This window comes from Homo sapiens, chromosome 13, assembly GCF_000001405.40.
Source record: "Homo sapiens chromosome 13, GRCh38.p14 Primary Assembly".
Classification (NCBI taxonomy): Eukaryota; Metazoa; Chordata; class Mammalia; order Primates; family Hominidae; genus Homo; species Homo sapiens.
Window position 1 is genome coordinate 40,982,426 of NC_000013.11, and position 21,870 is coordinate 41,004,295.

Here is a 21,870-nt window from a genome sequence, read left to right on the forward strand (position 1 = left end):
TCTTTTTTAAAAGTTACATATTTTATTTGAACAGTTTGCTCCTGCTAAGATCATCTGTCACTACTGAAAATTATGCCTCTCTCCCCCACTCTCCAGTTAAACTACTGTTAAAAGTACTCAATATTAAAAAAAAAAAAAAGGTCAAAAAACCCCAGCAATAATGAGGGTTGTAATCGCAATAAAGGATATATAAACAATTTCCTTCTTTTCACCAACTCAGCAAAGCACATACATAGAAACTGCTACCCAATGAGTAATTTCACAACGTATATATTTTCACCTTTAAGAGGATTTATATAAGGATTTAAAATCAAATACATTTAAAGTTTAGTAAGAAGTATTTTTAAATCTTTTAAAAATAAGCAGAAATTAAAGCCCACTCTTTCTGTTCTTTAAAAAGGCTTCTGATAAGTAAAATGTTTTAAAAATTACCATGCTTAAGCCTGTCTTCAGTGGCTTCTTTTTTAATGCACTGAAATGTATCCTTATCTCTAGTATAGGCTTGCAAGCAACAGGAAGGAAACAGCACTTGACCACGTCATGGCAAATTAGAACATGCAAAGAACTGCACTTTACAATAGTAGAAAAACAGAAACGCAACTTAGTAGTGAAAACAATTTCACAGCGAAGGGACAAAGGCTTTTAAAATGTCTGCCAAAGATGTTTGCCTATTTAAAAAAAAAGTTATCAATACTAACAAAAGGAAAAAATTCTTTAGGTGTTTATCACAATCTTACTACATTTTCATCAAATGATTATGGCCTGAAAAGAAAGATACAAAAATAATCACATTAAATAACATTAGTTCTTTGAATTAGCATTTACAGTTTTATTACAAACACTTTAAAAAAGAAGTTGACTCCAAGGAAAGGATGGCCAGTAATTTCCTAATAATTTTAAAGAGACAAGTCTGGGGATGAAGCTGATCTAGTGAATCAGTTTCCCTGAAAACGTAAATCCAGCTAGTATGTGTCAGCCAAATCACTTAATCGGTTTCCTAATTTCTGTAAAGCCAAGTCCCTATGTGTCCTGGGCTTTAGGGGTCATCATGGATGACTGTGATTTTCCTAGCAAGAACTCAAAATAAAATAAGAATTAAGAATCCAATTCAGATGATATTTCTACTCACTACACTAAATTCCAACCCAGCAAATTTCCCACTCTCATCCACTCCCTTTTAACAGGAAGTTTAACTCCAACACTGGGAAAGTATTTTTAGCACATTCAGGTGGTTTTTGAGCAATGTACCATATCTAGAAGAGGGAAAAAAAAAGTGTTTTGATTTAAATTGATCACAGATAGATACATTTGGCCTTGTACTTATTATTATTTATAATACCTTTTTCCTTAAATTATTATCCAACCCAATTCCTCTGTAGTAGACCTGCCTTATGTTCCTCCACACAAACTATTCAGTCTTGCCTCTTTTCTCAACTTCTGTTATTTCCTATGCCTGCAACACACCCATCTTCTACTTGCCAGCATTCAATCCCATCTTTTCCATTCAATGCTCAAGCCCCATTTATTTCACAAAGCCTCCCAACATCTATGCCTCAAACTACAAGGACTGCTCCCTTCAAAAACACAGCAATTACTGCCCGTACAACCAATTTAGCATGAATTGTAGTACATTGTCTTACATTTGAAAACTGTGTCCCCTTAATTCAACTGAATACATGTTTGAGTACCAATTATTTGCAAGGCAATGTGCCAGGCACCAAGACAACTGAAGCAAAACCTCTTCTGGGGAAATAACCATTGTCTAAAATTTCTTCTGTACCTCCCAAACCTGTGTGCCCACAGTGATGACAAAAAGGATTATATTGATGACAAATACTGTTTTAAATATCTTATCAGGCCAGGCATGGTGGCTTACACCTGTAACACCAGCATTTTAGCAGGCTGGTGGGGAAGGAGTCACTTGAGACTACACATTCAAGACCAACCGGGGCAACATAGCAAGACCTCGTCTTTACAAAAAATAAAAAATTAGTTGGCTGTGTTGGTGTGTGTGCATTTGTGATCCTAGCTACTCAGGAGGCTGAGGCAGGAGGATCACTTGAGCCCAGGAGTTCAAGGCCGTAGTGAGCCATGATTGCCACTGTACTCCAGCTTGCATTACAGAATGAGACTCTGTGTTCAATAAATAAATATCATTAGATATTTAAGCTATTTCTACAAATATCCTTTATTTAAAAAAGAATAACTGATATACTTCTGATAAAGAGGAAACTATTATCACAAGCTTGAAAAACGAGAGTAAGAAAACATAACCAGAATCAAGGGATGTTTGCTGATACAGAAGTTTCTCTGTAAAAGATTAGGTTCCAGAAGGCTATTTCAAAACCCATTTGTTCATAAATGCAAAATGACATTGTGCCAATGGCCAGTGTGAATACGTCTAGGTAAATTTAAGTTTCACTTTCTTTTCCACTGCTGTCATGTACCTTTTCGTACCAGCACTTCCACACTGCTACTGTGCTTTAACAGTTGTCTTTCAGAAATCTAAAAAATCAGGATAAGCAACCAACATACCCACACCTTATACATACTAACAACTAACAGTAATAAATCAAAACTGAAATGGCTCCCCACAATCACTAAGCCACTTATTGCAGCAGAAAAAGACACTTTTGCTCTGGCATGTAGCTTTTGCTTATTTCTATAGAGAAGTCCACAAACTGAAAATGTGTAAGCAAAGAAAAGCATTTTACTGGCTCAATCATGTCTTTGATTCTCTGTCATCTTTCCTGCTCCTCTTCCTCTCCCCTGTGTACTTATATACTCTTCTGCATCAAGGTGATTCTTGAGAATACATTTTCTGATACCTGATCCAGAGGGAGCACCTGTAGATATCAAAGATTCTTATAATCTTTGATTACAAAGCCCAGGTATCTTACAATTTTTTCAGTAACAGACAAGACTGAAGATCTAAATCAATGATTCCATTTTTAATTAGTAAATTGGGGTGGTCAAGTTCTCACGGTCTACAAGCAAAACAGAACTAAAACTAGAATTCTTGTTTCCTAAATCAGGACTCTCTCTAAAACTGTAATATACAGCTGGGCCTCTAAAATCCACCAAAGTCCTTTCTGCTATAACAGTTTATAACACAGATTAAGTAAACGCATATGTAAAAAATTTTTAAAATCTCCATCTCTAGGTTCAGCTTCTGAGCTCCAAATCCAGTCACTAAACTATAAGACAAGTCTACATCAGTGCCCCTTGAAGTCAGTGTGTAAAAAACATGTCCAAAACTAAATGCATCATCTAATTCCTCAAATACGGTCTTAGATGGAAAAAAAATATGGGCACTCGGATTAGAAAAAAGGCTTCTGTTCTAACCTAACAAATTGAAAGGTCCTCAGTAAATTTAAAACTTGTTTAAATTTACCCATCCTTAATTATCTATTATAGTCAGGAAGCACTCTGCTGTATTAATAGTTCTCAAACATGTTTTTTTCAAAGTGTCAGTCTTTATAAAGTAACAAGGAAAAACATAAGTGAAACTACTTCTTCATCACACAGACATAAGCGGTCAACTTATTTGCACAGTTTTCAGAGGGCATCCAGGCAGACATCTACCAGATAATAAAAAAATCTTAGGCTGGCTCAGATGTCTCTTAATTGGGTGAGGACCATATTCTTATTCTCCAAGGAGACATGCCACAGGAATACTTAGCAACAAGGTTCCTAACCTGTCATCCCCAAAATAAGCTTTGGAGTTAAAGTAAAATAGTAACACAAAGCAGTTCAGAGAACAGGCTCTGGAGTCAGACCGATTGGGTGCCAATCTTCTGCAGTGTGACAGAAGACTGGACAAGTTACTTGCTTGGTGTCTCAGTCCCCTCTTTCCATAAAATAGGTGTCAGTCTCAAGTCTCTTCCTTCTGTAAAACGGGTAAAGTAATACCAAAACCTAGAGCTGTTGTGTAGATGCAAAAATGCATGTGCAGAATACTTGGCACATAACATGCACTGAATTAACATTAGCTTCTTTAGCGCTGTAAGTATATGCAAGAAATATGTAACAGGTGCATGCTAGGTAACTAATAATTCCTTAAGGGTCATTTCTGTACTCCCTGGAAGTCTCTATTACCATAGCTATTTGCTAGACTCCAGAAAAAGAACATTATAGCCCATTGTCAACAAAACTGTAATTCTATTCCAGTGCTTCAAGGTTTGGCGTCTTTTTAACAAATCCTGCTGCTTCAAGGCGAGGACTTCACTCTGGCAAGCTTCCCTAACACAGAGTCCCATTATGCCTCATTCCAAACAAAATGACTTCACTGATGGTAAACACAAAACCCTCAGCCACACTACTAGCTACTACAACCACTTCAAATGGCTACTTGTTTAATTTATTATAGAAGATTTCAGGTACTAAAAAAAATATGATAGTCAAAATTGATCACTGATTGAATGTAAATTTAAGATTCCTTCAGAAAGGTTTTTAGACACAAGGATATTAAACCCACGAATTCATAAATATATTTTTAGAAAATCATTGCTCTTTTTTTTTTTTTTTTTTGAGTGGGAGTCTCACTGTCGCCCAGGCTGGAGTGCAGTGGCGCCATCTCGGCTCATTGCAAGCTCCGCCTCCCGGGTTCACGCCATTCTCCTGCCTCAGCCTCCTGAGTAGCTGGGACTACAGGCGCCCGCCACCACGCCCGGCTAATTTTTTGTATTTTTTAGTAGAGACGGGCTTTCACCGTGTTAGCCAGGATGGTCTCGATCTCCTGACCTTGTGATCCACCCGCCTCGGCCTCCCAAAATGCTGGGATTACAGGCGTGAGCCACAGCACCCGGCCGAAAATCACTGCTCTCCTTTTAAGTTACTATGGTACCAACTGTTTATGGTGAAAATTAATAAATAGTCCGGTGCCGTGGCTCACGCCTGTATCCCAGCACTTTGGGAGGCCGAGGCGGGTAGATTACCTGAGGTCAGGAGTTCGAGACCAGCCTGACCAACATGGTGAAACCCCGTCCCTACCAAAAACACAAAAAAAAAATTAGCTGGGCATGGTGGTGAGTGCCTGTAATCCCAGCTACTTGGGAGACTGAGGCAGGAGAATTGCTTGAACCCAGGAGGCAGAAGCTGTGGTAAGCCGAGGCACGCCACTATACTCTAGCCTGGGCAACAGAGCAAGACTCTGTCTCAAAAAAAAAAAAAAAAAAAAGAAAGAAAATTAATAAAGAGAATCAATCAAACAAAAAGGTTTTAGATCAGACAATTCTGGGATAAAGAAGGTGAAATATACCAGCTTAAAGCAATGACGTGGTTGAATGACTTCTCTAATGAAGTATGTAATTCAGACTGTGTCTGTTTATGTACATATGGCATGTTTGTAGGTTGGCAGTATCTAAAAAACTGGAATGCTACAGTAACTCTAGACACCAAGTAACTGAACAGAAAGAACTTTCACAAGATGTGGTAACCTAATAAAAGGGCTCTTTTCAGTATATACAGATAGTCATGGTAAGAAATGCAATATTCGGAAAAACCATTGAAAAAATATAACAGAAATGAAAGAAAACAGAGTAAGAAAGTGAGAGAAAAGAAGTGAAGTTATACCAAGTAGAAATGAGAAGCAAGCAATAAACCCATAATCTGTAATGACTGAATTCCTGTGTGATTGACCATAGTTTGGTCTTTTAAAAAATCTGTTTTCTATTATAACATGGTAGAAGGCTCTATATTAGCTCCCAGCAGAAATGAAGTCAGTGGTATGAAGATAAACTGCACACAGTCTTCCAAAGTTTGCCCATTCTCAATCTAAAAGTGTGAAATCACAGGATATTAGAGCTGAAAAAGATCTAAGGATTACCTAGGACAACATATTCACTGAAAAGAAAAAAGAATTTAGGCCTAGAGCATTCTGATGTGTCCAAGGACACACAGCCAGTTAGTGGCAAAGAAAGCAAGAAAAGCCCAGATTTCCTACTGGTACCTTTATATCTATATTAACAGAACTTCATTAATATTTTTTCCTTAGCAGAATATCTGGAAAAATAAGAAATCCCCTAGACAAATACCTAGCAAAAGTACCTTACCATACCCCAGTACAACTGTCAATTAAAATGCTTTTATATATTATGCAATCTCTTGATATTTGGGATAAATCATTTTCAACCATATTTTTAACTGAAACAACTGGTGCAGAGGGTTTGTAGATTTCCCTATTTACTACTTTAAGTCTTAGAGTTTTACTATTATTATCTCCCAAGTTTACTATATCATATCATCTTGCCTTACATTTTCACTCAGCCTAAAAAGTAAAAAGGAAACATGTATAAGCCTTTTTAGAAGGCTACCACAATTTAGTAACTCATTAAAATACTTCAAAATAGATTTGTACTGATATTTTTCTCTCTAGTTCTTTTTTTTCTTTTTGAGACAGAGTCTTGCTCTATCGCTTAGGCTGGAGTGCAGTGGCACGATCTCAGCTCACTGCAACCTCCGCCTGGGTTCAAGTGATTCTCATGCCTCAGCCTCCCAAGTAGCTGGGACTACAGGTGTGCACCACCACGTCTGACTGATTTTTGTAATTTCAGTAGAGACAGTGTCTCACTATGTTGCCCAAGGTGGCCTCGAACTCCTGAGCTCAAGTGATCTGCCCACCTGAGCCTCCCAAAGTGCTGGGATTACAGGCATGAGCCACTACGCCTAGCCTTTCTAGCTATTTTAAATACAGTATTATTGCTAGAATTTACATTAAAATATGCGAATATGGAAAAAACAATAAAGAAACATCCCAAAATGTAGGTATAGTTAAGAAACCAGATTTGAACTTTCCCAAAAAAGAATAGTCATACTTTCTCAGCTCCTGCTTTCTCTAAACCAGGTACTCTACACACAAAGTTGAAGGGAAAAAACACAAGTTAATGTCACAAGGCAAACAAATCATTTCATTGCACTCAGTGTTCTCATAATTGAAAAAGAAAATGTTTCTATACCCCAACTGTTCATTTAAATTTTTTCAAATATTCAACGAATTTAAGAAAGTTGAGAGAAAGTTTAAAACTATGTTTTTGCAATCTAAACAGGTACCATGTATTTACTATGAATATATTTTAGGTAGGTATGCAAGATAGCTACTTAAAATTAAGCATTCTTTTATTTTTTAATTAATTTTTTTATTGTTGAATTCTTTATTAATTCAAAACATTTTAAGTCAGTGTAATGCACATGCATTTTACACTAACATCCATAGATTTCCACAATATAGTAAAATGAAAACAGCTCTATCTTGATTTACTTTGAAAACTCAAAGAAAGCTACCTAGTTTGAGACTTCTGAATTTTTTTACATTATTGTCGTGCTCAAATTCTACTACATGGTGAAAATTCTAGCATTTTCCAGAAATATATTATTGTACATAGGTAAAATGATAAAACTGATTCTAGGAAGGGGGAATTTAAAAAACCAGAAAAGCTTAAATTGGAGGAAACATAATCTGGATTAACTATTCAATTTATTGAGTATCCACTGTTATTCTGGCATTGCAAAATAACCAAGTGTGGTGTCTCTTAAGTTGTATTCATGCATTTAAAACTTCTTTATTGTCCACTAATAAACATTGGTGGAGTACAATATATGGTTATAGATTAAGTATGATGAACATGGTAGTAAAAATTTATACACATTCGATACATAATTTTACAAAACCAAACACATTATTTAGCAAACATTCAAAAATCATACACAAGAAACATATTTATGACAAATTGGTTAAAGCTGGTAGGAAATACATCAGGTCTTTTACATTATTTCAATATTCAGTGTTCATTGACTAGTGGAGGGCAATATAGAAATGCACTAAGCAAAACTACCAGTTTAAGTTACCTCTTATGACAATGAGTAAGACTAAGATATTTAATATTGAAAGTATATGGAGGATTATTGTAATTATTTACCCAGATAGTTCAAGGGAAAAATTCACTTTCGCCTCTATTAGGTGAATATTCAGGATAAGACTTTTGGACTTTTATTTTTCTACTTTACTGTATTTTCTTTATAGCATGTATTAGTAATCACTTAATGGAACCTAATATCAGGGTTGAAGAATCTGCTCAGAATTTGTTTAGCTCAGTGTAAATGTCCAGAAATTTTACCTTCAATATAATCTCTTTAAAAATATATTACTTTGGCCAGGTGCAGTGGCTCACACCTGTAATCCCAGCACTTTGGAGGCTGAGGTAGGTGGAATGCCTGAGCTCAGGAGTTCAAGACCAGCCTGGGCAACATAGTGAAATCCCGTCTCTACTAAAAATACAAAAATTAGCCGGGCTTGGTGGTGTGTGCCTGTAGTCCCAGCTACTCGGGAGGCTGGGGCAGAATTGCTTGAACCCGGGAGACGGAGGGTGCAGTGAGCTGAGATCGCACCACTGCACTCCAGCCTGGTGACAGAGCGAGACTCTGTCTCAAAAAAAAAAAAAAAAAAATGTGTTACTTTACAGTGGAGAAACATAATAGATGCTAACTCAGCTAAGTGATCAAGGTTAACATCAACAGCTAAGAGAAGCCTAAAGTTTGAGAGACTGTCACAACTAAGAAGAGTCCTGATGATGGCATATACCTTTGATATCATGTGATAAGCATGGCACTTTACCTTTGTGTTCTTCCAAAAACCAAAAACCCATGTCTAGTCATGAGGAAAACATCAGACAAATCTCCACAGAGGGACATTCCACGAAATACCAGTTTATTTCTCAAAACTGTCATCAAAAACAAGGAAGCTTTCAGAACTGTCACAACTAAGAGAAGCCTAAGGAAACATGACAACTAAATGTAATGTGGTGGGATCCTGGGACAGGAAAGGGACATCAGGTTAAAAACTAAGGAAATCTGAATAAAGTATGAACTTAATGACCAATACTGGTTTATTAATTTTGACAGATGTCCCATAGGTCTGTAAGGGACCTTTCTATTTACAGTTTTTCTGTAAATATAAAACTACTCTAAAATTAAAGTTTTCATGGACACATTACTATTTTAAATTTTACTTTTATTGTAAACATTTTTATTTTTTCTTAGAGTCAGGGTCTCACTTTGTTGCAAAGACAGATCTGGAACTCCTGGGCTCAAGTGATTCTCTCGCCTTAGTCTCCCAAAGTGCTGGGGTTACAGGTGTGAGCCACCATGCCTGGCCCGTTACCACCTTTTATTAAGTTTTTATTTTCATTGTAAAATTGTTAAAGAAAATCATACTACCTTAATATTGAAAAGTGTTTTCTAATTGTCAATCTCTTATATCTTAGTCTTAGGCCTATAACTCATTTATATATTTAGCAAATAACTTGATATTATTTCTGTCCTTGGGAATGTTGTTTTATTTCCTTTGGAAATAAAATTTTCAAATGACTTCTCTTATTTAAACTTTAATTTTAACCTACAATTGTATATCTATCTATCTATGTATGTCATTGAAAGAAACATTTCTATAGATTTGAGGTGATGGTGAACTGCAAGTAGTGATTTGGGATCACATTATTGAGCAAAGCAATAACATTGATATAGTGTTCCATCTTAAAATATGATTGTATGTTCTGATGAATAGCTAAATCAGATGTTTATTGTATGTTTTGGAAAAAAATAGGGGAAAGTGCATTAAAATGACATTTAATACAAGCATAAAATAACAATTATTGTGTTGAAGAACTCTGATAAAATAATGTCACATTTTATTCTTTCCACGTTTATTTAATGCTCATAGCCATCCTGATAATTATTTTATTTGTCATTTGCAGATGAGAAAATGAACTCAGAGAAGATAAACGATTTGCCCAAAGTCGCATGAGACAGAAATGTAACTTGAAATCAAATTTGTAATTTTAAGTTCCTGATGTTTTTACACTACGCTCCCTAAGTGCATCTGTGAACACACATTTCCATTAGTAAGCATTGTATGTGGCATTCTTTTAATACAGCAATAAGAGCTAGATCTTTAGAAAGGAAATGTATCCAAGCTTAGGATAGAAACACAATCTGTTTATTATTCTAAAATGTTTATTTCTAACTGTTTAAAAGCTGTTATGCAGTGATAGCAGTTAGGTATAAGTCAACAGTTTTAAAATTCTAAAATTTCTGAAATGAGATTTAATATGAGAAATAATGAAGGAAGAATGAATTTCACATTGCACATATGACATATTTAAAAATATTACATTTGGTTATTGTCATCAATGCTTGATAGTGTTCCTTTTCCCTACTCATCTTAGAGCTTTTATCATAGGAATAAAATCAATTCCCAAACTGGGACCTTCTATCAGTTAGGGCAACATTTTCCTTTTGTAGTGTTTTCATTAGAGTCAAAGTCTTGAACATCCCCTGGAATTCATCTGAAAAGATGTTACTTGGGGCTGGAGAGAACTATACATGTGAGGATTAGGAGCCAACAAATTTCTGTTGATCACCTCTCTAACTCAAGAATTCTCTAGCTCGAGAATCAAGACTGACCTCTTTTGGTGATAGTACAGAAATGTAATCTTCATATATCATTCTAGCCTTTTCTCTTTTCTTTGATTACTTTTTTGTTCTGTTCTTTCTTTAAGTCTTCACAGGCAATCCAGAAAAGTAGGTTCTCTTTGTTGTATTCTGTTCAGAGGAACTCTCTGAAAAGGTTTCTTCCTGCTGGGGCCTTCATCATCTTGTCAAAATTTTGAGACCAGGGCAAGACTTCCTCTGCAGTGGGGTTTTGGCATTCCTCTAGGACCTGGATACTCTCCATTTTTGTAGTGTGTGTGGTTCTTCCTGCATTTTCCCCTTTCTTCATTCCTAACAGTGAGGCAGGAGCAGCTGCAACAACAGCACCAACAAAAGCAACAGATGTTGTTGGGCCTCTGGTTTCCAGGCGCTTGAGACACAGCAGGTGTTCCTTCATTTTGGGACTGCTGCCTTTTTCACATTTCAGCTACAAGACCCAATTAGCCAGTTGCCTGCAGGTGTGGGCAGTGCACCGATGGGTCTGGGGGGAGCGGGGCTGGGCGGCTCTGTCCTCTAGCGGAGCCCGTTTGCTACTATCCGCCCAACTTAAGCACCCAGCGGGCGAGGAACTAGTTTTTATTTATTTTTTAGAGACAGGGTCTCGTTGTTGCCCAGGCTGGAGGGCAGTGGCATGATCCTTGCTCACTATGGCCTCAAACTCCTGGCCTCAAGTGATCCTCCCGCTTCAGCCTCCTGAGTAGCTGGGGCTATAGGTGTGTACTACCACACCTGACTAATTTTTTATAATTTCTTTTGTAGAGAAGGGGTCTCATCATCTTGTTGAGGCTGATCTCAAACTTCTGAGCTCAAGCAATCCTCCCGTCTAGGCCTCCCAAAGTGCTGGGATTATAGGCATGAAACACTGCACCTGGCCGGGTTCTTTAATTTAAATTAGGCATTTTTTAATTGAGGGGGAGTAAGCAGAGGGAAGTGCCCAGGACGTTATCAAAAGTATAGTTTTATTTTTATGTAAATAAAGCACAAATCGATTTTTTTTTTGTATAGGATGTCTCAATCAAACTTCTGGTGACTTAAGCAAACCTGAAACAGGTTTTGGCAACTTGATCAAGGTCACCTTAGCTTCAACCATGCTAATAATAAAAAAAAAAAATCAATATGATCAAACTAAACAGACTGACTTTTCTATGTGTTTGCCTTTTTGCTGACAACCAGGTGAAAAGTTCCAGGACTCTGAAGGCAGGGCCACAATTACTCACTACCCAAACCTGAAATTCCAGTTCTTTCACATAGTTCTTCACTTCCCATCATTGGCCACTTGGACTAACCTGGTATCAGAATACACTGATACCAGGGTAGCATTTATAGCACCCTGCAGAACAGCCAAACAGACTGAATACCTAGACCTGTCCATACCTGTGGTCTCAAGTTTAACTCTTTTTTTGAGCATGTTCTGAAAACAAAGAGAATTCAAAATCAAAAGAGAAATATCAGCCAGGTGCAGTGGCTCATGCCTGTAATCCCAGGACTCTGGGAAGCCCAAGAGGGCAGATCACTTGAGGTCAGGAGTTCAAGACCAGCCTGGCCTACATGGTGAAACCTCGTCTCTACTAAAAATACAAAAATTACCTAGGCATGGTGGGGGGGTGCCTGTAATCCCAGGTACTTGGAGGCCGAGGCACGAGAATCACTTGAACCCAGGAGGTGGAAATTGCAGTAAGCTGAGATCGCACCACTGCCCTCCAGCCTGGGCAACAGAGCAAGACTCAGTCTCAAAAAGAAAGAAATAAACAAGCGAAATATCTAACAGTTATGAGATACTGTTTTAATTCTGTTCATTAAAAAGAAAACATAAACATGCTAAAACGTCTTTATCAGCAAAACCTGTTCAGGCAGTTAAAAAAATTTCTCTCTCCAACAAACAAGATTTAACTTGCAAGTAAACTGTTTCATTTCTGTGACCCTTTATTCTCCCAGTTAATACTTCCATTTTCTTAGAAAAGACATGCCCTAGTGCAATGGTTCCCCCATCTGAGAATACAGCAGATTCCCATTAGTAACTGTTTCATGCTGGCACTGATTGGGGGTGAAAAGCCAGGGATATGTTGTTTCAAAGTTCCCCAGGAGATTTTGCTACATGACACGCCTCCCCCACCTCCAATTCCCACACAGCATAACTCTCTTCTGGTAGAAACTGTATTCTGTTATAAGAAGTTTCACTCTTACACGGAGGCACACCAACAACTGAAAGCAAGATTTAAAGGTCATCTAAATCACTTCATGCTCATTATTAGGTGAAATGCTCTTTCATATATTTATTTGATCGGCCCTTACTACCTCTATTCTAGCCCCACTCCAGTGGCTCTTAAGCCTGGAGTAGGAGTCATTTACCAAAAGTGAAAATATGATCAACTTACTTCTCTGACAATTAATGGCTTCCATCACCTACAGGCAAAACTCCAAATGTATTAACAAGGCTAAAATAGCTCCTCATGATGTGGAAGGTGTGAGGAAATGGTAGTCAGATTTGTAAGACAGGATGTCTGAATACCTAGACTGGAGAAGTGAACGGAAATATTCTATGGATTGAGCTTAAAAATACACCTATAACCTATAGTAATCAAGACAGTGAGGTACTGGTGAAAGAACAAAATAGATCAATGGAACAGAATAGAGAGCACGGTTAATGGCACCACATAAATATAGTCAACCATCTTTGTCAAGGACAAAGGCAATACAATAAAGAAAAGAGTTTTTTCAACCAACAGTGGTAGAAAAACTGGATATCCACATTAAAAAAAAAAAAAAGAATCTAGACACAGACCTTATACCCTTCCCAGATATTAACTCAAAATGGATCGCAAACCTAAATGGAAAATAGGAAACAATAAAACTCCTAGAACATAGCATAGGAGAAAAATCTAGATGCATGTGGGTTTGGTGATGACTTTTTATAGATACCAAATGCAGGATTTATCAAAGGAAGAATTGATAAGCTGGACTTCATTAAAATTAAAAATTTTGCTCTGTGAAAGACAATGTCAAGAGAATGAAAAGACAAACCACAGATTAAAGGACTGTTATCTAAAATATGCAAGGACCTCTCAAAACTCAGAGAAAATAGCCTGATTTTAAAATGGGCCAAAGACCTTAACAGACACCTCAGCAAAGAAGATATACAGATTAGCATATGAAAAGAAGCCCCACACCATATGTCACTGGGGAAATGCAAACTAAAATGACAATGAGGTGTCACTACAAACCTATTAGAATGGCCAAAATCCAGAACACTGACAACACCAAAAGCAGGCAAGGATGTGGAACAATAGGAATTCTCATTCACTGCTGGTAGGAATGCAAAATGGTACACTTTGGAAGACAGTTTGGCAGTTTCTTACAAAACTAAACATACTCTTACACCATAGAGCTGTGCTCCTTGGTATTTACCCAAAGGAAGTAAAAACTTATGTCCACACAAAACCTGCACATGGATGTTTACAGCAGCTTTATTCATAATTGCCAAAACTTGTAAGCAACGAAGATGTCCTTCAGTAGGTGAATAAACTGTAGTGCATCCACATAATGAAATATTATTCAGCACTAAAGAGAAATAAGCTATCAAGCCACAAAAAGACATGTGGAAACTTAAATGCTTATTACTAAGTGACATTTGCCCAAACCCATAAAATGTACACCACCATAAGTGAACCCTAATGTAAACTATGAACTTCAAGTGACAAAGTGTCAGTGTAGGTTCATCAACTGTAACAAGTGCACCGCTCTGGTGCAGGTGATTAGCGAGAGGCTGATAACGGGGAGGCTATGCATGTGCAGGGGCAGGAGGTATATGGGAAATCTGTACTTTCCTCTCAATTTTACTGTGAATCTAAAATGGCTCTAAAAAATAAAGTCTTTTTTTTTTTTAAACTATAGCTCCAACACAATCTTAATACTCTTCACTATCATCTCAAAAACAACAATCCAGCAGTTCTGCATTTTATAGTTCCCCAACTTCCCCATCCCACTATTGAAGAAGCCGAAGTCAGCCCTGCCTTAATCTCACCAAGAACCCAATATATACTACCTCTTTCCAGGCCTTCTGTCTGTACTCACTGCCACCGAATCCAGACCTTTCCAACTACTCTCTGACAATCACAACCTTTTGTTCCTGTGACATTTTAGGATCCTCTTTCAAGTCACAGTGCAACCAGGTTTAAGGACATAATCTCCAGGGAAATAAACATTTCCATCTTTTCCCAAGTTACCAACACATTTGAAAGACTTTATGATTCCTTGTGCACAAAACTTCCTGCTCCCTGTGTGAGTGAAAAAAAACCCTGAATGATCTGTTTTCACAGTCTACCTCTTTTCTTCTTCATTTATTATTTTAATCTTTTTTTTTCTTTTGAGACGGAGTCTCACTCTGTTGCCCAGGCTGGAGTGCAGTGGTGCAATCTCGGCTCACTGCAACCTCCACCTCCTAGGTTCAAGCGATTCTTCTGCCTCTGCCTCCCGAGTAGCTGGGACTACAGGCACCCGCCACCACGCCAGGCTAATTTTTGTATTTTTAGTACAGACAGGGTTTCACAATATTGGCCAGGCTGGTCTCAAACTCCTTACCTTGTGATCCACCCACCTTGGCCTCCCAAAGTGCTGGAATTACAGGTGTGAGCCACTGCACCCGGCCATCTTTTTTCTTTTTTTTTAAGAGATGGAGTCTTGATATGTTGCCCAGGCTGGTCTCAAATTCCCAGGCTCAAGCATTCCTCCCACCTTGGCCTCCCAAGTGCTGGGATTACAGGTGTGAGCCACCACACTCAATATCCTCTTTTCTTCTTTAAATTACATAAAACGATTCTAAGTCAGCTTGGATATCATCAAAGAGTTCTGATGTTTCATGTCAGGATCTTTAAAATGAGATTCTTCCTACAATCATCTTTGTAACTGTCTGGCAATCATCTAAGCTTCTAAACTCAAATGAACCCAAAAAACAAGAAGCAGGCCAGGCGCAGTGGCTCATGCACATAATCCCAGCACTTTGGGAGGCCGAGGTGGTCAGATCACTTGAGGCCAGGAGTTTGAGACCAGCCTGGGCAAAAAGGTGAAACCTCATCTCTACAAAAATAAAAAAATTCGCTGGGTGTGGTGGAGCCTGCAGTCTCAGCTTACCCGTGAGGTTGAGGCGGGAGGATCACTTCAGCCCAAAAGGTGGAGGTTGCAGTTAGCTGAGATAGCATCACTGTACTCCAGCCTGGAAGACAGAGAGACCCTGTCTCAAAAAAACAAAACAAAAGAAGCAGCAAAACCACAAGATGAGAAATGAAAATATGGAAGGCCATGGGCTTAGTACTGTAAGATATATACAGTCATTTGCCACATAACAACATTCTGGTGAACAATGAAGCAGATATACAACAGTAGTCCCCATGTTTTTACTGCACCTTTTCTATGTTTGTTTAAACACACAAATACTTGCCATTGTGTTAAAATTACCTATACTATTCAGTACAGTAACATACTGTACAGGTTTGTGGCCTAGGAGAACAGGCTATACCATATAGCCTAGGTGTGTAGTAGGCTATACCATCTAGGTTTGTGTAGGTACATTCTGTGATTTTTTGCAAAAGGATGAAATCACCTAATGATCCATTTCTCAGAATGTATCCCAGTCATTAACTGATGTATGCCTGTATGTGGTATTTATAAATTATACATTAACTTTATATTTTACTATTGTACAAATCTTAGATAGAAGCAAACTTTAAATACCATTAATAAGTAAAACATATACAGAACAATTAAAGATTTAGACTTTCATCTTTCATAATATAATTTCTCAATCAATTTTTAAATCAGTTGAATCCATTTCAGTTACTATTAACTAAAGTGCATCAAATATCCTGGCATTAGGTTTTCTCTAATAGGAAACTGTTTTATGGAGGCCAAGGCAGGCAGATCACTTGAGACCAGGAGTTCAAGACCAGCCTGGCCAACGTGATGAAATCCTATCTCTACTAAAAAATACAAAAATTAGCTGGGCATGGTGGTGCACACATGTAGTCACAGGTACTCAGAAAGCTGAGGCACTTCAGCCCGGGCGACTGAGCAAGACTCCGTCTCAAAAACAAACAAAAAAAGAATAGTTTAGTTATGCTTATTTGATGCATCCAGAACTAATCAAAAGATCCCAAATATCTAATTTTAGAGGCACCTGTGCTATTATTGATGGAGTTCGTGGTAAAATGTTGTTAAGTATTTATTGAATTTCCCTTAGGCTCAGCACTGTGGAAAATATAAAGATAATGCATGGCCCTTGTTCCCATGAAACTTGTTTTTTGCAACAAGACCGAGAGAAGCAACTAAATGCATAAATGCAGTATTTTAGAAGACGAGATGGTCAAACAGGTAAAGAAAACACTTCACAGATAATGTGGGAACTAAACTGAACCTCAGAAGGAAGGTAGGAGTTGGAGAGACTAAAGGGGAAAGGAAAAGATAGTAAAAATATATTGTGTCTGTGCGTGTATGCGTACGTGAATGCCGACACAAAAGAATGCAGAGACTCAAAAATGACCAAAGTTTAGAGATAGTTAACAGCCTGATAAGAGCTAAGAGTTCACAATGGGAAATAGAAAGTCAGGCAGTAGAATTTAGGCATGATTTGAGAAGAAGTAAAAAAAGTTGCTGGAGGTTATCAAACTGGGTTGCAACAATAGATGGTGGTCGATGACTATAAAGCCCAATGCAAGTCATGTAAGTGGGATGTGGCAACCACCATCCAAAAACGATGAGGACAGTTTAAAAAGACATTCCACAGCTTGACTGCTACATTGAAAACTTCGCATCACCAATGTGTATACTGCCCTCCTTAAATTCTTCATTAATTACTTAAAATAGAGATTCTCAACAGTGCTTTTTATTCTGCTCAGGGTGTGGCAAAACTCTTTAAATCACCTAATTTACTCCATGTTTTTGTTCTTCACCTAAGAATTGGAAGAGGGGAGAAATAGGAAAATAAGATTTTCGAAAACGTATGACTAATTACCACATAATCCTTCTTATTATTCAACTGAACATCAAAACTGCCCATCATTCACTTGAACACCAGTGTAACTTTGAAATATATGAACTGTTGCATCTTTGGATGACTATATCTTCTCAGTATTAAATATTTTGAATAGATGATGCTGACTTAGTTATCCAATGAAGAAATATGTGATATAAATAACAGAACCACCTTTCTTCGTCACTGAAATACAGACTGCTATCACCAGCATTCACAAAATCTTCATTTTCTTACAAGGTGACATTCAGAAGATGCTTTTGTAAAAATAATTAGTTGACCAAATGAGGCTGCATTGAACCTGGCTTTTTTTTTTTTTTTTTTTTTTTTTTTTTTTGAGACAGAGTCTCACTCTGTTTGGCAGGCTAAAGCACAGTGTCATTATCTCCAGCAATTCTCCCGCTGCCTCAGCCTCTGGAGTAGCTGGAACTACAGGCACGCCACCACACCGGGCTAATTTTTGTATTTTTAGCAGAGACGGGGTTTCGCCACATTGGCCAGGCTGGTCTTGAACTCCTGACCTTAATTGATCCGCTTGCTCGGCCTCCCAAATTGCTGGGATTACAGGCGTGAGCCACCACACTGGGCCGAACCTGGGTCTTTATCAGAGGTGTTTTCTGCTTTATCGCTTTGTTGTACTCTTGGAAAGTTCAAGAATTCAAAGTTGTCTCAGTAGATGTAATGGGCACTTACTAGATTTAAAAAAATACTTTACTATAAAGACACATCCAGGAATTGTACAATATCACAATAAGGTTTATTTATATTATTATTTACTAGCAATACCTAATGTCTAATAAGTTCTTTATGGTTTACAAAGTAAAACATGTACAGTATACTGCTTTTTATTTAATCCTTAAACATCTCTAATAACTACTGATATCTCTGCATAGATACAAAAATCTGACACGTCCTCAAGGAGATTAGGAAAGATGATAAAAATAAATCATAAAATAAATAATTAGATACAACGCAAAGAAATCTACAGATTCAATGCAATCTGTATCAACATACCAATGACATTCTTCACAGAAATAGGAAAAACACTTTTTTTTTTTTTTCTGAGACAGAGTCTCACTCTGTCGCCCAGGCCAGAGTGCAATGGTGTAGTCTCGGCTCACTGCAACCTCCACCTCCCGGGTTCAAGCGATTCTCCTGCCTCAGCCTCCCAACTAGCTGGGATTACAGGTGCCCACCACCACGCCTGTCTAATTTTTGTATTTTTAGTAGAGATGGGGTTTCACCATGTTGGCCAGGCTGGTCTTGAACTCATGATCTCATGATCCACCTGCCTCGGCCTCCCAAAGTGCTGGGATTACAGGCGTGAGCCACTGTGCCTGGCCAACATTTTTTTTTAATTATTATTTATATGAAGGCTGGGCATGGTGGCTCATGCTTGTAATCCCAACACCTTGAGATGCCAAGATGGGAGGATCACTTGAGCCCAGGAGTTTGAGACCAACCCAGGCAACATAGCAAGACTCCATCTATCTTTTTTTTAAAAAGAGAACCACATCCATATTTTGTGGAACCACAAAAGATCTCAAATAGCAAATAACAAAGCTGGAAGCACCACACTACAAGTCTTCAAAATAGAATATAAAGCTATAATAACCAAAATAGCGTGGTTGGCATAAGAACAGACATACAACGTGAGAGACCCTGTTCTAAGTGCTGGGAATACAGCAGTGAACAAACCGACCAAAATTTGTGCCCTCATAGGGCTTAGAATCTAGTGATCTTAATCACAACATTCTGTTTCCCCTCAAAATATTCTGCTTTAAAAATGTAAAGCCAGATGCAGTGGCACGCTCCCATAGCAGGGGGCTGAAGCAGGAAGATCACTCCAGCCCAACAGTTCAAGGTTGCCGTGCACTGTGATCACAACTATAGACAGCCACTTACTCCAAGCAGGGCAAAACAGCAAGACCTTGCTTCAAAGAAAAAAAAAAATGGGGATTGTCAGGCAACATAGGCTGTTATCTTAAAACCCATGAAAGAAACTTCTGTCTCTCTCGTTCAATATCTAACTCCTAGTTACAATCCAACCCCTGACAACTGGACACAGAGAATGTGACGTCTCCTACAGTAAATGGGGGACTAAGAGTTGTGGGGAGAAGTTTTTTTACCTTTCAGAGACGATCTGTGAGTATATAAGGTGAGGGGAAGGGAAAATCTGGGGGGGAAATAGGTACAGATAAATCCAAAAGGAGGCTGTTCCAGGTAAAGCTGATTTACTTAGGGGTAACCTCAACGCCTTCATTTTGATTTAATTTTGACTTTGAGCCAACTGAAATGTGACACTGTGTACTGGGATTTTTAAAAACATCCCCTTTATAAATAGAAATACCTGGAGAAGAAGAAATAATTCTTCCTATATTGTCTTTTCCTATATTTTAATAGTAGATGGCCTGCAGAAATCATATCAGGGCGAGGTGCAGTGGCTCATGCCTGTAATCCCAGCACTTTGGGAGGCCAGAGTGGGTGGATCATTTGAGGCCAAGAATTCGAGACCAGCCTGAGCAACATGGCGAGAACCCATCTCAACACAAATTAAAAATTAGATGGGCATGGTGGCATGAGCTGGTGGTCCCAGCTACTTCGGAGGCTGAGGTTAGAGCCACTTGCACTCCACAGAGCAAGACCTTACCTTAAAAAAAAAAAAAAAAAGGCAAGTCCCATCTCAAAAAAATAAATAAATAAATAAATCAGTGTCGTCTATATTCTTTTGGACAAGCACTCTTTAGGGACCTATCTGCCAGACACTTGTGGGTAAGGGAGAAGGGTAGGAAAGCAACAAGTAGCTAAGAAGACTTTCCCTACAGGCGCTTACAATCTATCAACTAAGGCAAATGCAAATCATAGTAATATGTATGCTATAGCAGAAGTGGGCAAAGTTCATTCTCCCATGTAATTCAGTAATTATTTACTATGTCCCATCTCTTAAGATTATAAGCTACTTGAAAACAAAAGACATATAATAAATTTTTCTATATATTAATAAACACAGTTTAAAAGAATATTAAGTAAAGTGTATATTAAAAAGTCAAACTAGGTCAAGATCAAAGGACCTTTTATTTTCTTAATATTTACTTACTAAAATTCTTCATTAAACAGTAAAAGATTAGTGTTTTCATATGTTTGTTTTAGCATTCTATAGAATTTCACATGATGCATGTACTTGCTTCCCAGAACCAACTGGTGGTAAGCTAAGCTTCACTGACTATTGTCAAAGTGACGTACATATATGTATTTTTCTGATCCAAACTCAGAAATACATCAACACCCCCCAACAAAGAGCACAAAAAAGGGAGGTCTGACATGTAAAAGGACACTCAAAAACCCTATAAACTATTTTCCACATGTCTACCTAAGTTTTAATAAACAAAATAACTATTTGGTTCTTCTAAAACTCCTTAAAAATTAAATTCATATAGCTTCATAATTTTTCCTTCAATCTTAAAAATTAAATCCTTAAATTTGACTTTGATCATTTAGATTTATTGTTTAAAAAGACATAGTAACTTCTATCAATTTTTGGCTGGAAAAACTGTTAATATATAAACTTTATAAGACATTCCTAGAATGGCCAGATCTAAGCTAAAGTCCTATTTGTGAAAATTATTGCTCTGTTGACAAGACGACTGCAATTTATAACCCTCCAATCACTGAGGCACAAAAAACTTGGTGACAACAGAAAATAATACAGGGAGAAGCAAAAAGTAATAAAGAGAATTATTATTTCCATTTATTCAGTGGAGATATCAGGACCACAATGAATGGCTAGACATTTTTTCCAGATTGAAGCCAAAAGTAAGAGATTTTTGATGCTTAGCGAGCTAAAATAATTAAGCTCTTCAGCTACATTTTTTAATGGACCAATATGTTATCTCCACTTTTAACTAGGATGAAAACACTAATAATTTCACTAAGATATCTCATTTCCATAAACAGCAAAAACAAACTGGGGGTGGGTGGAGCTGAAGTACAAAATAACTTTTACAATAAAATTATTTCTTAGAAATAAACCATAAAGGCAACCTGTAGAAAAGATTCACATTATAGTTCTTTAACCAGTTTATGATTCTAGAAAAAAGAAAATAAATATCAGGCATGTATTTATTCCCCCAACAAGTATTTATGAAATCTACTATATGCCATTTACTGGGTATACAAAAATAAAGATAAATAAGATATGATCCTTGTCCCAAAGTGGTTCAACATCTAAAAAGAAACAATGTAAACAGATAATTACAAAACAATGTAAATAAACAAGTCAACCAAAAGATGACAGAATGAATAGAGAGGGGTAAATACCTGTGAGAACCTGAAAAAACTTCATAAGGAAGTAACATGTTACTTAT

General features: G+C 37.5%; 1 protein-coding gene and 1 pseudogene across 12 annotated transcripts in view, besides 5 other annotated features; both read right to left on the minus strand.

The window, feature by feature from the left end:
• The window catches only part of ELF1 (E74 like ETS transcription factor 1), a 129,468-nt gene that overhangs the window by 50,507 nt on the left and 57,091 nt on the right, over positions 1–21,870 (minus strand). Inside the window, exon 1 of one of the 12 annotated variants that reach the window (NM_001370331.1) lies at positions 433–474. The exons of the other annotated variants lie outside the window; for them this stretch is intronic. The gene's annotated coding sequence lies outside the window, so the exon portion shown is untranslated. Of the gene's footprint in view, positions 1–432; positions 475–21,870 lie in introns of those variants that run through there. 12 annotated transcript variants of the gene reach the window in all.
• Positions 1,968–2,037: an enhancer, noted in NCBI's record as "active region_7620". NCBI's record gives its function as "activates an Ori minimal core promoter by ATAC-STARR-seq in GM12878 lymphoblastoid cells {active_cell/tissue: GM12878}" and the evidence as "EXISTENCE:reporter gene assay evidence [ECO:0000049][PMID:35858748]".
• Positions 2,457–2,736: an enhancer, noted in NCBI's record as "active region_7621". NCBI's record gives its function as "activates an Ori minimal core promoter by ATAC-STARR-seq in GM12878 lymphoblastoid cells {active_cell/tissue: GM12878}" and the evidence as "EXISTENCE:reporter gene assay evidence [ECO:0000049][PMID:35858748]".
• On the minus strand, positions 10,198–11,053 carry RGS17P1 (regulator of G protein signaling 17 pseudogene 1; annotated as a pseudogene).
• Positions 10,466–11,007: an enhancer, noted in NCBI's record as "H3K27ac-H3K4me1 hESC enhancer chr13:41567027-41567568 (GRCh37/hg19 assembly coordinates)". NCBI's record gives its function as "activates a minimal SCP1, AML or CMV promoter by ChIP-STARR-seq in naive H9 embryonic stem cells {active_cell/tissue: H9 hESC(naive)}" and the evidence as "EXISTENCE:reporter gene assay evidence [ECO:0000049][PMID:30033119]".
• Positions 10,782–10,861: an enhancer, noted in NCBI's record as "active region_7622". NCBI's record gives its function as "activates an Ori minimal core promoter by ATAC-STARR-seq in GM12878 lymphoblastoid cells {active_cell/tissue: GM12878}" and the evidence as "EXISTENCE:reporter gene assay evidence [ECO:0000049][PMID:35858748]".
• Positions 11,008–11,548: an enhancer, noted in NCBI's record as "H3K27ac-H3K4me1 hESC enhancer chr13:41567569-41568109 (GRCh37/hg19 assembly coordinates)". NCBI's record gives its function as "activates a minimal SCP1, AML or CMV promoter by ChIP-STARR-seq in naive H9 embryonic stem cells {active_cell/tissue: H9 hESC(naive)}" and the evidence as "EXISTENCE:reporter gene assay evidence [ECO:0000049][PMID:30033119]".